The 21,227-nt window shown below is 46.6% G+C and overlaps 1 protein-coding gene across 4 annotated transcripts in view, besides 8 other annotated features; it reads right to left on the bottom strand.

Annotated features, from left to right (window-relative positions):
- The window catches only part of ZNF592 (zinc finger protein 592), a 57,854-nt gene extending 44,608 nt beyond the window's left edge, over positions 1 to 13,246 (bottom strand). For 2 of the 4 annotated variants that reach the window (NM_014630.3, XM_005254996.4), the window contains exon 1: positions 13,174 to 13,246. The gene's annotated coding sequence lies outside the window, so the exon portion shown is untranslated. Of the gene's footprint in view, positions 1 to 12,637; positions 12,936 to 13,173 lie in introns of those variants that run through there. The other 2 variants (XM_011522246.3, XM_011522247.3) reach the window with 2 other exon arrangements.
- Positions 723 to 1,224: an enhancer, noted in NCBI's record as "H3K27ac hESC enhancer chr15:85303845-85304346 (GRCh37/hg19 assembly coordinates)". NCBI's record gives its function as "activates a minimal SCP1, AML or CMV promoter by ChIP-STARR-seq in primed H9 embryonic stem cells {active_cell/tissue: H9 hESC(primed)}" and the evidence as "EXISTENCE:reporter gene assay evidence [ECO:0000049][PMID:30033119]".
- Positions 6,323 to 6,492: an enhancer, noted in NCBI's record as "experimental_41887 CRE fragment used in MPRA reporter constructs". NCBI's record gives its function as "activates a minimal promoter by MPRAs in K562 erythroleukemia cells, with activity observed for the introgressed 15:85298662 variant allele {active_cell/tissue: K562}" and the evidence as "EXISTENCE:reporter gene assay evidence [ECO:0000049][PMID:34662402]".
- Positions 12,275 to 12,354: an enhancer, noted in NCBI's record as "active region_9992". NCBI's record gives its function as "activates an Ori minimal core promoter by ATAC-STARR-seq in GM12878 lymphoblastoid cells {active_cell/tissue: GM12878}" and the evidence as "EXISTENCE:reporter gene assay evidence [ECO:0000049][PMID:35858748]".
- Positions 12,755 to 13,244: a silencer, noted in NCBI's record as "silent region_6773". NCBI's record gives its function as "represses an Ori minimal core promoter by ATAC-STARR-seq in GM12878 lymphoblastoid cells {active_cell/tissue: GM12878}" and the evidence as "EXISTENCE:reporter gene assay evidence [ECO:0000049][PMID:35858748]".
- Positions 12,755 to 13,724: a biological region, named in NCBI's record as "H3K27ac hESC enhancer GRCh37_chr15:85291347-85292186".
- Positions 12,883 to 13,722: an enhancer, noted in NCBI's record as "H3K27ac hESC enhancer chr15:85291347-85292186 (GRCh37/hg19 assembly coordinates)". NCBI's record gives its function as "activates a minimal SCP1, AML or CMV promoter by ChIP-STARR-seq in naive H9 embryonic stem cells {active_cell/tissue: H9 hESC(naive)}" and the evidence as "EXISTENCE:reporter gene assay evidence [ECO:0000049][PMID:30033119]".
- Positions 13,305 to 13,724: a silencer, noted in NCBI's record as "silent region_6772". NCBI's record gives its function as "represses an Ori minimal core promoter by ATAC-STARR-seq in GM12878 lymphoblastoid cells {active_cell/tissue: GM12878}" and the evidence as "EXISTENCE:reporter gene assay evidence [ECO:0000049][PMID:35858748]".
- Positions 13,795 to 14,094: an enhancer, noted in NCBI's record as "active region_9991". NCBI's record gives its function as "activates an Ori minimal core promoter by ATAC-STARR-seq in GM12878 lymphoblastoid cells {active_cell/tissue: GM12878}" and the evidence as "EXISTENCE:reporter gene assay evidence [ECO:0000049][PMID:35858748]".

The following is a 21,227-nucleotide window of genomic DNA, read 5'->3' as shown; positions in this document are numbered from 1 at the left end:
ATGAACTTGAAAGGTGATGGAACAAATGGCTTTCAGATATCATCTTAGCATATGTGCAGATTCAGAAGAAAGCCTGAGAGCACTGACAGCTGTACTCAGACAGGAAGAGTTTTCAGCAGACCAGAAAGAACAGACAGGCTCCTCTCCTGGGATTACAGCCCGTGAGGTGAAGGTGCCATCTGGGATACTATTGCCTGCTTACCCCCAGACCCCTCAACCTGATGAACACCTTCAGCAACCTGAGGATGACCCTTCCTTTTCCTTTCTCCTACTTACACCCCACCTGCTTCCAAAACTCACTTGAAACCACTGACAACACTTTAAACTCTACCACATTGGAAGCACTGGAAGCCTTTGTCAAGGCAGCCACACAGCAGTTGGGGAGCATCCCGCCATTACCAAGTCTCACTGATGTCATCTGCTCCATCCCATGTCTGCCGACCCCCTGGTCCTTGCTCTTTCCTTGCCCTCTCTGGTCTTTCCCTACTTGGTCATCCTGCAAATTTCTTTAAGACTAATCCTTCCCAAACACCATTTTTATCAGGTCACTTACTCTGCTCAAAAACTCCCTGGGCCGGGCATGGTGGTTCATGCCTGTAATCTCAGCACTTTGGGAGGCCAAGGTGGGTGGATCACCTGAGGTCAGGAGTTTGAGACTGGCCTGGCCAACATGGCGAAACCCCATCTCTACTAAAAATACAAAAAAATTAGCCAGGTGTGGTGACGCATGCCTGTAATCTCAGCTACTTAGGAGGCTGAGGCAAGAGAATTGCTTGAATCCGGGAGATGGAGGTTGCAGTGAGCCAAGATTGTGCCATTGCACCCCAATCTGGGCAACAAGAGGGAAACTCTGTCCTAAAAAAAAAAAAACTTCTTCCTGTAGCCTACCATATTAGGTCCAAGCCCTGGGCCAGGCTTTCAAAAACCTCCATAATCTAGGCCTAAGACCAGGGCTACTGTGTTTTTCAGCAGCTGCCCCTCACTGGTCTTGCAGCACCAACTCACTGCCTCCCTGCTGAACAGCACCAGTAAGAGATGGGGTATAGAGACTGGAACAGACTGGACCATGTCTCTGAACTCCGTTCCTACTGAGAGCATCCTCTTCATCCTCCTCTCTTCCACCCAACCACACTCCTTCTCTCCTACTCCAGCTGCTAGCTACACTGCCCTTTGCTACCCTATCTCTACACCACACACACACCGCAGACATGCACGCATGTACTTTCATTCATTCAATAATATTGAGCACCATTACTGTGTGCCAGGCCTTGTTCTAGTCACTGTGGATACCACAGTGGACACCACAGTGAACAGAACAAATGAAATTCCTGCCCATGTAGAGCTGATAATCCACTGGAAGGAGACAGACATACAGAGACAGATTCATAAAAGTCATACTTATTCTCTTTCTCAACCAGGGCTCCTCATATGACATCAGAAGAGTGAATATATTCTCAGTTCTGAAGTGAGAGAGCAAGCCATGAGAATATGGGGGAGAAGAGGTTTTAGGCGGAGGGATGAACAAGAAGGAAGAGAAAGGCCCTGAAGCAGAAGGAGTAGGAGATATGGCTGGGAAGCAGATGATGGCAGGCCATTGCTAGGTCTTTGACTTTGACTCTAAGACGAAAGAGTACAGGAGGATTTGGAGTAGAAGAATGATGTGCTCAGACCAATATTTTATTTGTTGTAGGTGGTTCTTTTTTTTTTTAACCACTTATCCTCAAATTCTATCAGACTGACATTTTAAAAGGATCACTCCCCTCTGCCTATCCATCTCAACTGTCTATCATTAGGAAGAATTACCAGAATTTCTTCCTGATTGTTCCCAAATTTTCTAAACTAAGCACATATTACTTTTTAAATGGCAGGGTGGGGGGGGGGGGAATCTCCCCAATCCTTAAAGACTTGGCTCAAATTCCAACTCTGCCTCAAAACCCCTGTACAAGGCAGGGCTAGCCCACGCTGTACCCTATGTCCCAGCCAGCAGGACCACCAAGGTGGGCCCAGAGTCAGCAATGAGGTGGTACAACAACATTCACTGCAGGAACTGATATGAATGAATGTTTCTTTTGCTGCCCTCACTTCTCTCCTCCCATGCAGAAGTGTGTCCCTTCAGACACTCTTGCCCCCAAGTGCCTGCCTGGGTCCCAGTCTTTCTCTCAGTTGACTTAATTAATTCCTGGTAATTAAACCTACTGTTTGGTGATGATGTACTAAAGAGTATGACCTCTCCCAGGGGGTATAAATAATTTAAAACAGGACTCTAAGATGGAAATGCAAAAGCCTTAGACTCAGAGGAATGGAGCTATAATGATGGAATGACAGACACTGGGGTTCATACTTTGTGGATAGGAGGCCAGCTTCTCCTAAAGGGCACAGCACTTAGGAAGCAGCGTCAAGGGGAGACAAGTAATGAAAGATCAGAATACTTCATGGCCACCACCTCTCTCCTCCCAAATGGCCATTCAGTACATTTTGGGTACTAGAGAATGTTCCCTAGAGGTAATCCCAGCCATCTCAGAGGGTGACCTGTGTGCCAATAACCACCACCCTCAGAAAGAAAAGCCCCCTTAAGACACTTCTGGTCTGAAAGCAAATTGTTCTCTAATTGCTTTCAGTGGGGGAAATCCTGGAGGGCGAAGTTCATCTCACATGATTCTTTTATGCTCTACAGAGCACCAACTCTGGATTGGGTCCACAGTTGCTTTTATAAGCAACTGTGGAATACTGTTCTTAATTAGAATGTTTACTTATATTTAAAATCTTGAGGTTGTTCCTTTAGCAAGGCAAAGGGCATAGGGAGACCATAAGAAGAGGCTTTAAGGTAGGTATCTACTGTAACTGAATTGGCAAAAAAGAGTAGAATGCTGTTGCAAAAAGGTTCCAGAAAATTTTACTTATTTAGTTAGTTAGAGACAAAGTCCCACTCTGTCACCTAGACTGGAGTGCAGAGGCATAATCACGGCTCACTACATCCTAGACTTCCCAGCCTTGGGTGATTCTCCCACCTCAGCCTCCCAAGTAGCTGGGACTGAATACGGGTCTGTGCCACTATGCCCAGCTTTTTTTTTTTTTTTTTTGGATTTTCAGTAGCGATGGGGTTTTGCTATGTTACCTAGGCTAGTCTCAAACTCCTGGGCTCAAGCAATCCACCCACCTCAGCCCCCAAAAGTGCTGGGATTACAGGTGTGAGCCACCTTACCTGGCCTCCCCAAGACTTTAAATACAAGTACACATGCTAATTAAGAATAATAGGCCAGGCGCCATGGCTCTCACCTGTAAGCCCAGCATTTTGGGATGCCAAGAGGGGCCGATTGCCTAGCTCAGGAGTTCAAGACCAGCCTGGGCAACATGGCAAAACCCCATCTCTACAAAAAAATACAAAAAAATTAGTTGGTGTGGTGGTGCACGCCTGTAGTCCCAGCTACTTGGGTGACTGAGGTGGGAGGATCACCTAAGCCTGGTTGGTCAAAGCTGCAGTAAGCCATGATCACGCCACTGCACTACAGTCTAGACAACAGAGCGAGACGGTCTCAAAAAAAAATTTTTTTTAAAGGATTAACGGGGCCGGGCGCTGTGGCTCATGCCTGTAATCCCAGCACTTTGGGAGGCCGAGGCGGGTGGATCACAAGGTCAGAAGTTCGAGACCAGCCTGGCCAAGATGGTGAAACCCCATCTCTACTAAAAAAAATAAAAAATTAGCCGGGTGTGGTGGCAGGCGCCTGTAGTCCCAGCTACTCGGGAGGCTGAGGCAGGAGAATTCCTTTAACCTGGGAGGCGGAGGTGGCAGTGAGCCGAGATCTTGCCACTGCACTCTAGCCTGGGCGACAGAGCAAGACTCCATTTCAAAAAAAAAGAAAAAAAAAAAGGATTAACGGCTGGGCACAGTGGCTCACGCCTGTAATCCTAGCACTTTGGGAGGCCGAGGTGGGCGGACTGCCTGAGCTCAGGAGTTTGAGACCAGCCTGGGCAACATGGTGCAACCCCATCTCTACTGAAATACAAAAAAGAAAAAGCCAGACATGGCAGCGTGTGCCTGTAGTCCCAGCTACTTGGGAGGCTGAGGCAGGAGAATTGCTTGAACCTGGGAGGTGAAGGTTGCAGTGAGCTGAGATCATGCCACTGCACTCTAGCCTGGGGGACAGAGTGAGACTCCATCTCAAAAAAAAAAAAAAGATTAATGGCAGCCAGGCACAGTGACTCACACCTGTAATCCCACATTTTGGGAGGCCGAGGTGGAAGGATCGCTTCAAGCCAGGAGTTTGAAACCAGCCTGGTCAACACAGCGAGATCCTGTCTCTACAAAATAAATAAAAAAATAAAACTAATTAACCAGGCATTGTGGCCCATGCCTGTAGTTCCCACTCTGGAGGCTGAGGTGTAAGGATTGTTTGAGCCCAGGAGGTCAAGACTGTAATGAGCTATGATTGCACCACTGCACTCCAACTCCAGCCTGGGTAACAGTGCTGGACCCTATCTCTCAAAAAAAAAAAAAAAAGGAAAGAAAGAAAGAAAAGAAAAGAAAAGAATAATGATCAGGGACAGTGGTACACCTGTAGTCCCAGATACTTGGGAAGGTGAGGGCCAGATGCTGTGGCTCATGCCTGTAATCCCAGCACTTTGTGAAGCTAAGGTGGAAGGATTATTTGAAGCCAGGAGTTTGAGACTGGCTTGGTCAATATAGCAAGACCCCATCATCACTACAAAAATAATTTTTTTTTTTAATTGAGACAGTCTCACTCTGTCACCCATGCCAGAGTACACTGGCGTAATGTCGACTCACTGCAACCTCTACCTCCCAGGTTCAAGCGATTCTCCCACCTCAGCCTCCCAAGTAGTTGGGACTACAGGCGCGCACCACCATGGCCAGCTACGTTATTGTATTTTTAGTAGAGACGGGGTTTCACCATGTTGACCAGGCTGGTCTCGAACTCCTGACCTCAAGTGATCCACCCACCTCGGCCTCCCAAAGTACTGGGATTACAGGAGTGAGCCACTGTGCCTAGCAAAAAAAAATTTTTAAAGGGAGGATCGTTTGAGCCTAGGATTTCGAATCCAGCCAGGGCAATGTAGCAAGACTCCTATCTCTTAAAAAATATATATAATATTTTTAAGGGCCTAAAGATTTATAGCCTTAATAAAGTATTAAATGGTGATAGTTTTTATAATCTCAGCCAGTTAAGTTCAAGTCTGGGGAGGATAACAGCACAAAGGCAGATAGCAGCCCAGCCACATAGACCAGAGCTTTGGCTGGGCCAAGCCCAGAAAAATCTGAACTGCTCAGTGCCCACCCCTGGGCCCCCTTCTCTGAAAATGCCAAAGCTCTGCCTCAAATGTGTCATCAGGCCCTACAATGTCCCTGAGATGGCTTGCAGTTACAATGGACACCTACCTTCAAAACCTCTCTGTGTAGTCTCACTCTGCCCTTTGGCTTGTAAAGGAATACCCTCAATTTCAGGAACTGAACTGACAAAAAAGTAGAATGTTGTAAACTACAGCAAACCAGGGGAATAAAAGCGGAGCCAGAGTCCACTCTGCTGGCTCACATTGGCTCTAGCTTGCCAAGGGCAATGTGGGTAAAATGTTCCTGTATCCAAAGACTAGCTGTAAGGAGCAGCCCTCCACCTTGCCCCTAGTATGAGCTAAACCCCTAAAAGGGGGGAAATCCCAGGAATGCATGTGAGGGTTACAAATGGGAACTCTCTCTCTTAACAGTCCCTTGATCCCCAGGTTGTAACATCAAGGCCTCTAGAATCCCCATGCTGTTGTGTGAGAGACTGAGCCCAATGGTCCATAGGAGTCAGCCCAGAGCCACACCAGAAAAGGAATGATTTCTTTAGAAACACCCCTAAAGAAAGCAACCAACTAATGAAGCTAGAAGCCAAGTCACACTCTACTCATCAGCTCCTCCCAGATAGGTGCAGCCCTGCCTCTCTGAATTCAGGGACTATCCCAATCAGAGGTGCTAGCCTAATCCACCTGTTTGAATGCATATCTAACAAAAGCATCTTACCCTGAGAGTGACAGAGGAGGCCAACTCCAACATCATACATCTCTATAGGGACATAGTTCTAGGCAGTTTTTGAGTTTTTGCTTTAGGGCATTCAATGTTTGTCTCCAAAATGAAATTCGGCTTATAGGATGCTTGTTTGTTTTTGTAAAGATGATATATGTGTCTGTATAAAATTCAAATGATAGGAAGAAAATATTAAGAATAAAGTAAAAACCACCCCAATCCCTCCACTCAGAGGTAAGATCTTACTGTAAACTCTGTCCTTACAGAGAAGCAAGTCTATTCTGAGTTAGCCCTGGGATGTAGGTCTCGTGTTCTCTGGATGAGCCTGTGGATTTATTTTTATGGAGGAAGACCCTTAACGCCACCTCTGGACTACTCAAAAAAGTTTCAAGCTGGGCACAGTGGTGCATGTCTATAGTCCCAGCTACTCAAGAGGCTAAGGCAGGAGGATTGCTTGAGCCCAGGAGTTTGAGGCTAGCCTAGGCAATATAGAGACCTCATCTCTTAAAAAAATAAAAAAAAATTAAAAAAAACTTCTTTAAAGTTTTCAAATCTCAGCCAGGTGCAGTGACTCATGCCTGTAATCCCAGCACTTTGGGAGGCAGAGGCAGGAGGATCACTTGAAGTTAACAGTTTGAGACCAGCTTGGCCAACATGGTGAAACACCAACTCTACTAAAAAAAAAAAAAAAAAAAAATTAGCTGGGTGTGGTGATGGACGCCTGTAGTCCCAGCTACTCCGGAGGCTGAGATCACCTGAACCTGGGAGGCAGAGGTTGCAGTGAGCTGAGATCGCACCACTGCACTCCAGCCTGGGCAACAGAGTGACACTCTGCCATGAAAAAAAAAAAAAAAAAAACAACTCAGGGGATTGCAATAATCCTAGACCTCTCAAAAATAAAAAGTTAAAGTCATGCAGTCCCCCTACGCCACCACACATACTGATTGGAGACCAGAAGTTAATCTGTTCAGCAGACATACTCCTTTTCTTCACTCAACACAGTGGCAGTCGTTCTACAATCTATCACACACATAGACATTATCATCCTTTTCATCCCCCAGAGTGTGTTGATGAGAGAAAGGGAGCCACCATTACCTCTCTTTTTTTTTTTTTTTTTAAGAGACGGGGTCTTTCAATGTTGCCCAGGCTGGTCTCGAACTCCTGGGATCAAGCAATTCTCCCACCTCAGCACTCCCAAAGTGCTGGGATTACAGGTGTAAACCACCATGCCGGGCCCCACCATCATCACCTTTTTTTTTTGAAATGGAATCTAGCTCTGTCGCCTAGGCTGGAGTGCAGTGGCACAATCTTGGCTCACTGCAACGTCAGCCTCCTGGGCTCAAGCAATTCTCCTGCCTCAGCCTCCCAAGTAGCTGGGACTACAGGCGTGTGCCACCACAATCAGCTTGTTTTTGTATTTTTAGTAGAGATGGGATTTTACCATATTGGCCAGGCTGGTCTCGAACTCCTGACCTCAAGTGATCCGCCCACCTCATCCTCCCAAAGTACTGCTGGGATTACAAGCACGAGCCACCGTGCCCAGCTGCCCATTATTACCTCTGGATTTAACACTTTCAGAATCTGAAATGGAAAAGGTAAGGAACTTAACCAAAGTCACGCAGTGACCAGGGGACGACAGCCCATAAGTGCTGACAGCTTTGAGGAATGACTGCCGTGGCACCAAACTCGAAAGGTATTCATTAACTTTTCTCTGAGCCATAAAAAGGATCAAATGTGTCATTTCAACAAACACACACACACACAATTCCCCTGCTGTTAAACAAAAGCAAATGGTTGGCTGAAGTAGCACTCTGATCCTCTGAAAACATTTCCCAAAAGTAATTAGCTAATGGATAACACATCCTACACCCTTGGAGCAAGCAAAGGGAGGCCGCTGGACCAGATGCCCACAAATGAAAACACACAGATTTTGGGTACATGCAATTGCTCTACCTCAAGGACATCAAACATTCAGAACTCTCTCCTATTCAGGATGTTCCTATTTTTTAAGAAAAGTTTAAACAAACTTACATGTAAAGATAGGAATAAGGCCAGGCATAGGGGCTCATGCCTGTAATCCCAGCACTTTAGGAGGCCAAGGCAGGCGGATCATTTGAGGTCAGGAGTTCAAGACCAGGCTGGCCAACATGGTGAAACCCCGTCTCTACTAAAAATACAAAAATTAGCTGGGTGTGGTGGCGCACGCCTGTAGTCCCAGCTACTCAGGAGGCTGAGGCAGGAGAATCGCTGGAATCCGGGAGGTGGAGGTTGCAGGGAGCCAAGATGGCACCATTGAACTCCAGCCTGGGCAACAGAGTGAGACTCCATCTCAAAAATAAAATAACAAAATAAATTAAATTAAATTAAAACTCACCATGATCTGGCTGAGTTGAGGGTGGGAATTGTTTTCTTTTCTGTCTCCAATGTGTAGGGAAGATAAAGATCCTAAATCAGTGTTTCCTTCACATGCAGCCAAAAGCCCCCTACCTCCTCCAAGAGTTCACAGACCTCTGTTCCCAGAACAACTTCCGACGCATCTGCCCACAACCACTGCTAGCCACAAATTTACGCACACTACTTAGAATCTGCATACCTTCTCCATTAACCTAACTCTATGGAACGCTCCTTTCTGATATTTTATTTCTATTACTCGTCCCATTCCTTAAGTTTCACAAATACAGGATCCCACATAAACAATACAGAATTATTCATTCTATCAATTAATAATCATTGTTGACTATACTAAATAGTGCTTGAGGAAAGATTATGTTAACAGAAAGGGTTCGTTTTCATGGAGCCTGAGAAAAACAAACAGGAATTGAGGAGCAAGTGTTTGTTAGTATGTCCCAGCCCTGGCCAGAAAGTGAGGAGCAATGGCCAGAGGACAGAAACATCTGTCACTCTGCAGTTTCATTTCTCATGGTCAGTTAATATCCTAAGTTTATTCAGGAGTCTCTTCCAAGTTTGGTTAGTGAGTCAGTCTCTCTGGATCCAATCAGCTCTGAGCACCCTACAAAACTAAATTTCTGGTCTACGAAGCAGAGAAACAGATCCTGAAGCACAGTGATGCCCCCCAAATAAAGCTGCCCCACGATAACATCTATCTCCACTCTCTAACTGCAACGTCTATCATGGGATGTATGTGATGTATCTAAGACTCTCTGGTAGCTCCCCATGGCTTACAGAATAAAATCCAAACTCCTTGACCTGCCTTTCACAGCCCCAACTTAGCTTTCCAGCCTCATCCCCAAACACTGGGGGCTACCATGGCTCCATGCTTTCATACCTATGATTCTATCTACCTAGAATGTTCTTTGCTCAATCTTATTTGCCTGTAAAACTCCTACTCTTCCTCCAAAGCCTAGTTCAAAAGTCACCTCCTCCCTGAAGCCTATTTACCCAGGGATTTCATTCTTACTGTTTCAAATAGCTCTTTAACCGCAACTGTGCTAGAGAACTTAAGTACACTGTAACTCATCCTTTAAAATATCTGAGCTCCACTGGATACTCTAAGCTCCAGGAAGAAACTCACTATGTATCCCACAAGTTCTTATACAGTGTCAAGCCTGAAATGGGAGCTTGATGTTGAATGACTGATCACATGGAACATGGCATTAAGTTATTAAGAGAAGATGAGAGGAAAAAAAAGTCACACGAAATTCAAGAAATAAATTATCTATACATTTAATCTCATTCAAAATGACCACAGTATGACTGAGATGCAACGTGGATATTTCAAACATTTAAATAATAAAACCAAAGGCCTGACTGGTGGCTCATGTCTGCAATCCCAGCACTTTGGGAGGTGGAGGTGGGAGGATCACTTGAGGCCAGGAGTTCAAGGCCAGCCTGGGCAGCATAGTGAGACACTGTCTCTAGTTTTTTTTGTTGTTGTTGTTTTCGTTTGTTTGTTTTTTGAGATGGAGTCTCGCTCTGTCACCCAGGCTAGAGTGCAGTGGCTCAATCTTAGCTCACTGCAACCTTCACCTCCCAGGTTAAAGCAATTCTCCTGCCTCAGCCTCCTGAGAAGCTGGGACTACAGGCGCGTGCCACCATGCCCAGCTAATTTTTATATTTTTAGTAGAGACAGGGTTTCGCCATGTTGGCCAGGATGGCCTCGAACTCCTGACCTTAGGTGATCCACCCGCCTCAGTGTCCCACAGTGCTGGGATTACAGACATGAGCCACCGCATCCAGCTTGTCTCCAGTTTAAAAAAAAAAAAAAAGTAATAAAAATTTTTAAAATAATAAAAGCAACTAATATTTGAACCCAGTGCTCAACTGTTTACATGACTTAATCTGTACAACAACTGTATGAGGGAGTTTTATCTGCACTTAAAATGTGAGCAAACTGAGGCACAAGAGAGGCTAAATAACTCAAGATCATTGGTTAGCAAGTGACAGGAGCAAAATGCAAACTTCAGTGGTCTGGCTCCAGAGCCAGTGGGCTCTGAATTCAGGCAGACGTGCTTTGAATCCAGGCTATGTTACAAATGTGGCTTTGAATAAGTCATCTATCCCCTCTGCATTTATTTCTTTGTAAAATGGGTATGATAACCTCTTTTTCTTAGGGTGTAGAGAGGACTAAGTTAAATACAATAATGTATGCAGAAGTCTTTAAAATTGGTTCTCCCACCTGGCAGGTACTCCATAAATGTTAATTCATTTTTGCCTTCCCTTCCTAAAAGCTGGATGAAGCAGACTCACAGAGGCAAAGGATCTCCCCCAGACTGCTTGAGGCTTTTCCAAACAGATCAGGTAGTTAAGCCACTCAACCCAGAAAGCCTTGCCTTACCTGCTTATCTCAAAAGTCCATTCCCTGCACAGGGGCTAGACACCTTTTAAAATGTAAATATCATGTCATTCCCTTAAACCCTTCAAAGGTTCCTAATTACACTGGAGATACAAACCAAACTAAGGAGGGAGGCATTCTGCCCCCAAGGCCCCATTGCTCTAATTTGGCCCTAGTCTCCAGACTAATCTCCCCTCTCCCTTTCCCCCTCCAGCCCCACAGGCCTCTTTCACTTCCTCCTTGCTACAGTCAGCTCCACACATGGTTAACTCTTAACCCTCCTTCAGATCTTGGCCTAAACATCACTTCCCCAGGGAAGGCTTCCCTGAGCCCCCAACTCAAATCGGTCTCTTACCCCTCTCTTCAGCTTTCTCTTCTTATATTCACTATAGTTTGAATTATTAGTTTACCACTTCCAAGTTTTACTCGAAAGACACCTTCTTAGGAAGCCTTCCCAGGCCACCGTATAATATAAATTCAACTACCACCCCTGATACCTCAGATTCTCCTTCCCTGCTTCCTTCTTCTCCTTAGCATTTCACACTTTTTAACAGACTATATTTTTGTTATATATTTTATTTATTGTCTTCTCCCCCACTCCCAGGAAAGCACCACAAGGGCAATCATTTTTGCTTTCTTTGTTCACTGCATCTAGAACAATGCCTAACACGTATTTGTTGACAAATATTTGTTGTTGAATAAATTTCCACGACTATTTATTTATTTTGAGATGGAGTCTCACTCTGTAGCCCAAGCTAGAGTGCAACGGCACGATCTCAGGTCACTGCAACCTCCGCCTCCCGGGTTCAAGCAATTATCGTGCCTCAGCCTCCCAAGTAGCTGGGATTACAGGCATGCACCACCACACCCGGCTAATTTTGTATTTTTTTAGTGGAGACGGGGTTTCACCATGTTGGTCAGGCTGGTCTCGAACTCCTGATCTCAGGCGATCCACCCGCCTCGGCCTCCCAAAGTGCTGGGATTACAGGCGCGAGCCACCGCGCCCGGCCACGACTATTAATTATTAGACTTTCCCAATGGCTAAGAACTAAAACATGGTATCTTTCTGGCTTACCAATGTACTCCCAACACCTAGCTCAGTGCCTGGCACAGAGTAAGTGCTCAGTAAAAATTTATTTAATGAATCAAAGCCACAACTAGTTGAAAAATTGGAAAATGATCAAAATGGACGCACTAGCACCACACTTCTGCCCCTTTCACTGTGTAACGTAACAGTGAGGTTGAGGAAACAGACTACTAAAATACCACCAAGCATCCACCAGGCCAGGAATCTGTCTGTCCACATCCTCCGCACTCTGCCACACTGTGCACCACACTGCACCCGCGACAGAAGCACCCTACAGGCCCTCCATGAGCACAGGCCTGAACTCAAGTGGGCAAACCATAAGCCAAATACCGTCTTACTCCCCAAGTCCCATTCTTCTACTGCCAGTCCTATTCTAGACTAGTCCTGGATGCCAAACATGCTTCCCTGGGTGGGCCTGTGGACTTATTCCAATCCAGGACCTTTAATGCCACCTTTGGCCTACTCAAAAAATGGTTTAAAATCCCTAAACAGCTTCAATAATCCTGCAGTACTCAGGAGCAGGCATACCTAAGGTCATACGGACCCCTCCCCCTCACAAACGCTGATCCAAGGCCAGGAGGCCATCTGTCCAGCAGACGCTCTCCTGTCCTCCCTCAGGTCACACTGAGCCTCCCGCCAACCCCCTCGTTGGCAGGAAGAGCCCTTGCAGAGAGACAATTTTCACCCTGATCAACAGGCCTGGTCACCCCTGAGGACCCCAACTCTGGAGCTCTAGGAATACCTGTCTGCTCCGGGAGAAACCTTCCTCAGGGTCAGAACTTGGGCTCAGGGGAGGGGAGTACTGAGGAGCGCCAAAGAGGGTCGTTCCCCGAAGTGTCTGCCCTGTGACGGCGACAGCTCTTCGGGCGGCGGGGACGGTCGGGCTGACAGGCCGTCCCAGAGGGAGAAAGTGGCACCGTTATCCGTGCCCGGGCTGGGGGCCGCCGGCTATCGCCGAGGGCGGCCGCACGTCCCGCCCAGCGCGGAGGACAGCAGCGTGCCCGGCCTGCCAAGGAGCGGCGGTCGCAGCGGCGGTCGCAGCGGCGGAAGGGGCCGGCGCCCGACGGCCGGGGGCGGGGTGGGGTGGCGGCCCGGGCCCGCCAGGCGGCGGTCGGGGGAAGTGGCTGCCGCCTCTGGCGGCGGCCAGGGTCCGCCAGGCTGCAGGGCCGGGCCCCGGCTCGGGCTCGGACTCGGTCCCGGCTGCGATCCTCCCGGGCCCAGGCTGGGGCTGCCCCGGCCCGCAGGCCCCGCTCGGCCCGGCCCGCGGGGGGCGCTTACCTGGCGGCGGCGGCGGCGACTGCAGGCCAGAGTCTCGGCCGCGCGCGTCCCCAGCGCCGGCTGCGGGAGCCACAACATGGCGACGGCGATGGCGGGCGGGGCTGCGGCTCCGGGGGCGGAGCGGGGGCGGGAGCCGGCCTGGCGGCGGGACCTGGCTGGGGCTGCCGCGGCGGGGGATTGGGGGGGGGGGGGGGCAGGCGGAAGGCGACTCGGACCTGGGCACCGGCCCAGGACGGTGCGGTGGAGGGGCTGCCCCGGCCTGGGCCCGGCCTCCCGCCTCCCGCCTCCCGCCCGAGGCGGGCTGCGCGGCGCAGGCCCGGCGACGGCGACGACGGCGGCGGCGGGTAGGGCGGGGCGGGACGCGACGGGACGGGGCGGGGCGGGGACGGCGCCGCTCAGGGCTGGACCCCCGACCCCGGCCGGCCCCCGCCCGGCTCCAGTCCCCGCCACCCGTGCTAGGCACCCTGTGCGGTCGGGCAGGCAGCCGCTGCCAGCGACCTGGGCCTCTTGTCCTCTGACGCGCCTCGGGGCAGGGGCAGGGGCCGAGGCCGCCCACTAGAGGAACAGGATCTGCCTACGCAGCTGTCTCGCCCGGCAAAGAGCGCCCAGGACCCGGGACTGCGTCCTCTTCACTGAGACCTGGCGCATAGGGGGCCTAGTCGAGGCTGTTAAGTGAAAGCAAGCAGGGGTGGCGTGGGCCTGGCGCTCAGGTGCGCCCTAAATGTTTGGTCATAGCTGGCTACAAGGACATTCGCGCAGGCTTGGAGGTGCGGGGCAGCCTGACGTGTTGCCTCTGGGGTAACCGAGGGACGCGCGGCAAACAGAGATGGAGGACTGGCAACGGGTGCCTCGAAGAGGTAGACTGGGAGATCTCTCAGGGTTACTGGGGAAACGATGACTGTGCAGGGTGAGAACTCAGTGAGTCTGGCAGAAGGCTGGGAGGGTGACCGGCAGGACCTTCCAAGAACCCGGCGTACCTGGAAACTGGGTCCGCAGCATTAGGGCGGCAGCAAGGTCAGGGTGTGGGAACACGGAGATGAGGCCCTGGTGACTAGGAGTGAGCACACACTGCTAACCATGGAGAAATTCCTTCTCCAGGAAGGAGATGCAAATGTGCAAGATGGCTGGAACTAACATGCAGCCGGAGCCTGCTGTGCACCAGGCACAGAACTGAGTTGAAGAGCTTGTCTAAAGAGTATGTTAGCCAATGAAGCAATGGAGTTAATAAAGGGTGATGATTTCAAATGTTTGGCAGTGAGAGAGAGAAAAGTAGGCCTGGAGCTCAAGAAGTACCAAGAGTAAAGGAGAAAGTTGGGTCCTACTGTGGAAGCTGAGGCAAAAGCATCCCTTAAGCCGAGAAGTTTGAGTTCAGCCTGGGCAACATAGCGAGACCCTCCCTCTCTGCAAAAGAGTAAAGGGAAAAGTTGATTGTTTTTTGTTTTTTTTTTTTGTCTTTGGAGACGGAGTTTCGGTCTCGCAGCCCAGGCTGTAGTGCAATTGCGTGGTCTCGGCTCACTGCAACCTCTACCTCCAGAGTTCCAGTGATAATCCAGCCTCAGCCTTCAAAGTAGCTGGAATTACAGGCGCACGCCACCATGCCTGGCTTTTTTTTTTTTTTTTTTTTTTTTTTTTTTTGAGAGAGAGTTTCGCTCTTGTTGCCCAGGCTGCAGTGCAATGGCACAATCTCGGCTCACTGCAACCTCTGCCTCCTGGGTTCAACCGATTCTCCTGCCTCAGCCTCCCGAGTAGCTGGGATTACAGGCATGCGCCACCATGCCTGACTAATTTTGTATTTTTAGTGGAAATGGGGTTTCAACATGTTGGTCAGGCTGGTCTCAAACTCCTGAACTCAGGTCATCCACCCGCCTCGGCCTCCGAAAGTGCTGGGATTACATGCATGAGCCACCGCACCCGGCCCTAATTTTTGTATTTTTAGTAGAGATGGGGGTTCGCCATGTTGGCCAGGCTGGTCTCGAACTCCTGACCTAAGGTGATCCACCTGCCTTAGCCTCCCAAAGTGTTGGAATTACAGGCATGAGCCACCATGCCTGGCCGGTGATTTTTTTTTTTTTTTTCCTAACTTGAGTGGGGAGACCTTAACTAAAGGAGCTGAGAGGGGAGAATGGCAGATAGATGTAGGATAATTGATGGTGCAAGAAACCAGAAAAGGAAAAGTAGATGGGAAGGGGGAAAGGGGTGAGCAAAAAGTCAGAGAAGTCCGCCTCTTCCTACAAGATTTAAAGAGTGCATAAAGATTGAAATATTTTGAGGTAGGGAGGCATGCATGCTTCCATGGATCAGCTGCCTGGATTACCCTCTACAATCATCCTTAGGGCAGCTGGGGTCACTGTCCTTTAAAATTTAAGTACAATTGACTCCAAACCTGTGTACCACTTAAGAAACCCAGCATACCTGCCAATATCTCCAGAGTTTCATTGGGAACTTACATTTCTCCTAATTATCTCAGGCCCTAATTTCTTGTTTGCAAAAAATATTGTGCTCTTTGGAAGATTTGTCACCATATCCCAGATATTAGTCCATTTATATTACCTCAAAATATTGCACCCTACCTATAAGCAGGAAAAATGCCCAATATTATATTATTATATTATAGTTATATGATTGTTAAATAAACTAGAGTTTGTGGCCATTAAAAATCATGGTAAATAAAAAGATTTAATGATGTGGGAAATCTTTATAATTAAAAGCACATTATAAGGTGATATAGCAGATGGTAATATATAAATATACATAAATAAGTATAATGCGTAGATTTTAAAATGAGACTTTTCTTCTGTGACATCTATATTTTCTTATTTTTATAGTGCATGTATATTTCTCCTGGAAGCAGGGAAATGGTATCTTTAAGTAGCTTTTAAAAGTATTTTTAAGAAAGGTGTTTTTTAAAAGATATTTATGGGGTTCGAAAGAAAAAAATATTAGGGCTGGGCATGATGGCTCATGCCTGTAATTCCAGCTACTTGGGAGGCCGAGGCTGGTGGATCACCTGAGGTCAGGAGTATGGGACCAGCCTGGCCAACATGGTGAAACCCCATCTCTACTAAAAGTACAGGCGTGGTGGCACGCCTGTAGTCCCAGCTACTTGGGTGGCTGAAGCATGAGAATCACTTGAACCCAGGAGGTGGAGGTTGCAGTGAGCTGAGATTGCACCACTGCACTCCAGTCTGGGCAACAGAGTGAGAATCTGTCTCAAAAGAAAAAGAAAAATATATTAGGACTCTGGAAAGGAATTTGGAAATGAATCTTTGAAGTGTAGATGGGACTTTAGCAAATAGAGATGGGCTGAGTAAGGAGACTGTCCCAGGCAGAAGGAACAGTACAACCAAGAACCCACAGTGGGAAATAGATGGAGTGTTCAGAGGGGAGCACCAAGAAATCCATTTGGCTGGAGCACAGGACTGGTGTAGAAGAAAAGTAGGGGAATCAATGTGGAAAGGTAAGGTAGGAAATGGGGTTTCATGGACTAAAATAAAAGGAAAAATAATGACTATATCAAAAATGGTCCTGAATGCCAAGCTGAACCCTGTGTCTTTTGCATGTCAGGAAGAACCACTGAGGCTTGAACAGTGCAGGTAATAAATTTGCAAATAAATTGTCCTGTAACTTCTTACTCAATGAGGTTTGAGGTCTCAACCCATCAGTCCTAATATTTGGACATCTAATTGACTCAGAGCAATGAGTTAGGGGCAGCAGTCTTTGCATTACAGCTGTTTACAGACTGAAAGTTGGGCCTTGCTTCTCTGGCTATTAATGACTACAATTTCTATTCACCAGCACAGTTTCAGAGCGAGAACAAATTAGCAAAGAGTAAAATGGAAAGGAAAAAGAAATGTGCACCTTAAACTAGTACTTTGAAAACTTTTTTGACTGCAATCCTCCATAAGAAATGTATTTTACACCTCAACCCAGAACATACGCATGCCTGCGCGCACACACACACACACACACACACACACACACACACACCCCGTAAGACGAAAGTTTCATGAAATACTACCCTTATTTTATGAAATGCACTCTGATATTTTCAACTGATTAATCTTATTCTTTTTAAATGCTGATCAGGACCTACTACATTGATTCCATAACCCACTGCTGGGTCACAAAGGACATTGAAAAGAGGCTCAACTATAGCCAGATAGCCTGCACCCTTAAGCTTGCCATGTTTACATGTCCCAGAAATCAACAGGACAGACGAGACTCTTCTAAGATGCTGTGGAGGGGTGGGATGGAAGGATTGACAGGAGCCATGTTTGGGTTTCTCTTCCCTTCTCAGTATATATTTCCTAATATCAATATTTCTCAGGGGCTATAAACATTTTCTTCTTTGTCCAGCTCAAGATACAGATTGAACTTCAAACAAGGTAGACCAGAGACAATTTTTTATTTGAATGAATAGAATGGTGGACTAAAATAAAAGGAAAAATAATGTCTTGATTGTAACTGTTATCTTAGTTGTGACAATACATTGAGGCCATCTTATCTAACACTGTTGGAGTATTATAAGGGCAATAAGTTTAATCTCTTCCTTATAAGTTTGGAAGCAATGGAAAGGTGAAAATATCAGCTTTATTACCAATAAAGCTGAACTGAAGAATGTGGCTTAGATGGTGGCCAATAAGCTTTTTAATATTTTTCCCTGAATTAAAATTATTTCCAGCCAGGCATGGTTGCTCACACCTGTAATTCCAGCACTTAGGGAGGCAGAGGTGGGAGGATTGCTTGAATCCAGGAGTTAAAGACCAGCCTGGGCAACATAGCAAGACCCTGTTCTCCATAAAAAGGAAAAAATAAAAAATAAAATTATTTTCCCAAAACCTCCATTCTCCCCTTTGCAGAGGCCTAACCATATTAACCGTGTCTAATTAGAGAAGATTGCACCCTCTCTTAGGTCAGGCAGGTCTGAATTCAGCAGTTAGGTAAGTCTCTGCTGGAAGAATCAGAACAACTTCACTCCTACCTGCCCTTCTATGGAAACAAAAGGATTTAGAGGATAAGGATAAGGATTTACATCCCCTTCCCTACTCCTGATGCCCAAAAAATTAGACCTGGCCCAATAGTTCATCCTTTAATTGGAAAAGAATATTTAAGCAGTGAATAACAACAAATGGCAAATATACACCCTAATATTTCATTTTAACTTCAAAACTATAAAGAACACCCACTTGCCTTGCCAATCTTTAGACCTAGGACCAAACCTTTTTTGATTATTGTTCTTGAGCTGCCTTTCTTACATCAATCATATCCACGATGCATTTTCTATGCTTTCCTATCCTTTTTTTTTTTTTTTTTTTTGTCAGTCACCTAGGCTAGAGTGTTAAGAGTACAGTGGTGTGATAATGACTCACTGCAGCCTCAACCTCCTGGGTACAAATGATCCTCCCACCTCAGCCTCCTGAGTAGCTGGGACTGCAGGCGTTCACCACCATGCTTGGCTATTTACAAATACATATATATATATAAAACCTGGCTTCCAAGTTGACTGTGTACTTAAAACTTCTTACAAAGCAGTATAAGTAGAGGCTTTAAAAAAAAACCTTTTGTAGTTCTCTTGCTCACATCTGGTTTAGTAGTAATTTCAACTGGTCTTTAGCTAATATTTTCAAAGCATGCAACTGATATGTCATAGAGACAGCTCTTTTCATGCTTATGTTTAATCTATGTAATTTTAATAAACTGATGGATAATTCATCAGTTTATTAAACTCTGGCATATAGCTACCATAAATAGGTTTAGGACCAAACACAGCAGACTGTTATTAGGCATGTAGCTCAACTGGCAGGAATGAGTATGTAGGTATTCCAGAAAGTAACCCACTAGTCCAAAGCATTTAACTGTCCTTGAGCATTAGCAATATATTTATTAGAAGGGAATGAAAAGTGTTGGTTCTGGAGAGTCCACTAGAAGGAGAGCAGTTAATGCACAGTTAATGCTCATATGCTAGGATGACCAACACTGTGCATATTTCATAACTTTCTTCTTCCATCATTTATCCATTTCATAAATGTTTATTGATATTCTGGACAGTGCCAGACACTATGCTAGGCCCTGAAGAGGCATAGCTTAATGAAGAGGAGGAAACTGATGTATAAACAAGGTGAAGAGTCTGGAAGAAAGAAGGAAGAAAGTAGGAGAGCAAATCCTTCTAACCTTCTCTCCACCCCACGCCCTCAAAATCACTGACCCTCCAGTCCCATTTAGCTAAAAACAGCTTTAAATGGCTTAGAATTGGTATGGCTATCAAAGAAGTTCAAATGTTAAGACTACTTACTACATTAGCAAAGTATACATACCTTATGTACTTTCAATGCTAAAGAGATAATGCAATTGGTACAGTCAAGAGAAAACCGTGGCAGGGTACATTGCTATCCTTTAAAAAAGCAATTTGAGGCCGGGCGCGGTGGCTCATGCCTATAATCCCAGCACTTTGGGAGGCTGAGGCGGGTGGATCACCTGAGGTCAGGAGTGCAAGACCAGCCTGGCCAACATGGTGAAATCCTGTTTCTACCAAAAAATAAAAAATAAAAAAATTAGCTGGGCATGGTGGCGCATGTCTGTAATCCCAGCTACTAGGGAGGCTGAGGCAGGAGAATCATTTGATCCTGTGAGGCAGAGGTTGCAGTGAGCTGAGATCATGCCACTGCACTCCAGCCCGGGCGACAGAGAGAGACTCCCCTCAAAAATAAAATAAAAAAAAAAGAGAAATACTACTCCCCAAAAGAAAACAGCCACACACACAACAATATTTACCATAGTACTTATTGAATGATAGTGAAAATTTAGAAACATTATGAATGGTTAAGTAACTGGTGATGTGAAACGTATAACTTATTGACACGAAGAAACATTTGATTACATATGAAATGAAAAAAGATACAGTTTGCTGGCACATGCTAAGAACCACTAAATTGTATGCTTTAAAGGGGTGAGTTTTGTGAATCAATTTTCTTAAAAAGATACTATTGTATATTTTTGCTTTTGTATCAACTAAGATCAGCAGGGAACAGATGAACCGCTCAAAATGTGTATCCGAGGAGAGTTAGTAAAGGGACAGTGTACAGAAATGTAAGCAGGGTTGAGGGAAACCAAAAAGGGACAGTGAAGCACCCCAGGTCTAGCATCTACTGGGAAGCCATTATCAACCACTGGCCCGAAGGGGCAAAGAGATGGAACAGTTACCAGTCCTTATGTAGGAGAAGGACAGCCAACAGGAGCTTGGAGGAAAGAAGAGCCATACTTCTCTTCTTTCTCTCAGGTCTCCTTCAGTACCTCCCACTGGCTGAGCCAGCAGGAAGCCTACAAGCAAGGAACCCAGATGGTGCTGCTTTCAAAGTCCACCTCTGCAGGTAAAGAGCAGAGTGCAAAAGGGTGAAGGGTGGATCGGTAGGAGCAAAGGCAAGAATACCTAGCAGGTGTGTGATCATCTGACAGTGTGGAAACTGCCAAAGCATGTAGCCAAGGGCCTTAAGGGAACCTGGAAAACCAAGGCTTCTAGAGATAAAAAGCTAAGGTAGCAAGAGGGCAAGTAAGACAGGTGGAAGGGGCAGAAAAGAGTAACTGATGAGGACGAGGGCCAGAAATGGGCCAGAAATGAGACCATTTTATTGTTTGGTTAAATACTGAGCTGGAGTCTGAGCTAGGGAAGAAATTAAGAGGACATATGTCTGAGTTGAGTTGAACTGGAGCATTAAAAATTCTTCCACAATTGGCTCTTAGCCTATATTTCTTCTTCCTAGCTAAATTACATGCATTACACAAATAAATGTTTGGTGCCTATCATGTGCCAGGAACTGTTAGGCCCTGGGGATTTAGGAGGGAACAAAATTAACCTCCTTGGCCAGGCACAGTGGCTAATGCCTGTAATCTCTGCACTTCGGGACACCGAGGCAGGAGGATTGCTGGCGGCCAGGAGTTTGAGACCAGGCTGGGCAACATAGAGACCCTGTCTCTACAAAAAACAAACAAACAAACAAACAAAAAACCTAGGCATAGGGGCACATGCCTGTGGTCCTTGGGAGGATGAAGCAGGAGGA

This window comes from Homo sapiens, chromosome 15 (assembly GCF_000001405.40).
Source record: "Homo sapiens chromosome 15, GRCh38.p14 Primary Assembly".
NCBI lineage: Eukaryota > Metazoa > Chordata > Mammalia > Primates > Hominidae > Homo > Homo sapiens.
This window is presented reverse-complemented; position numbering and strand designations above follow the sequence as displayed.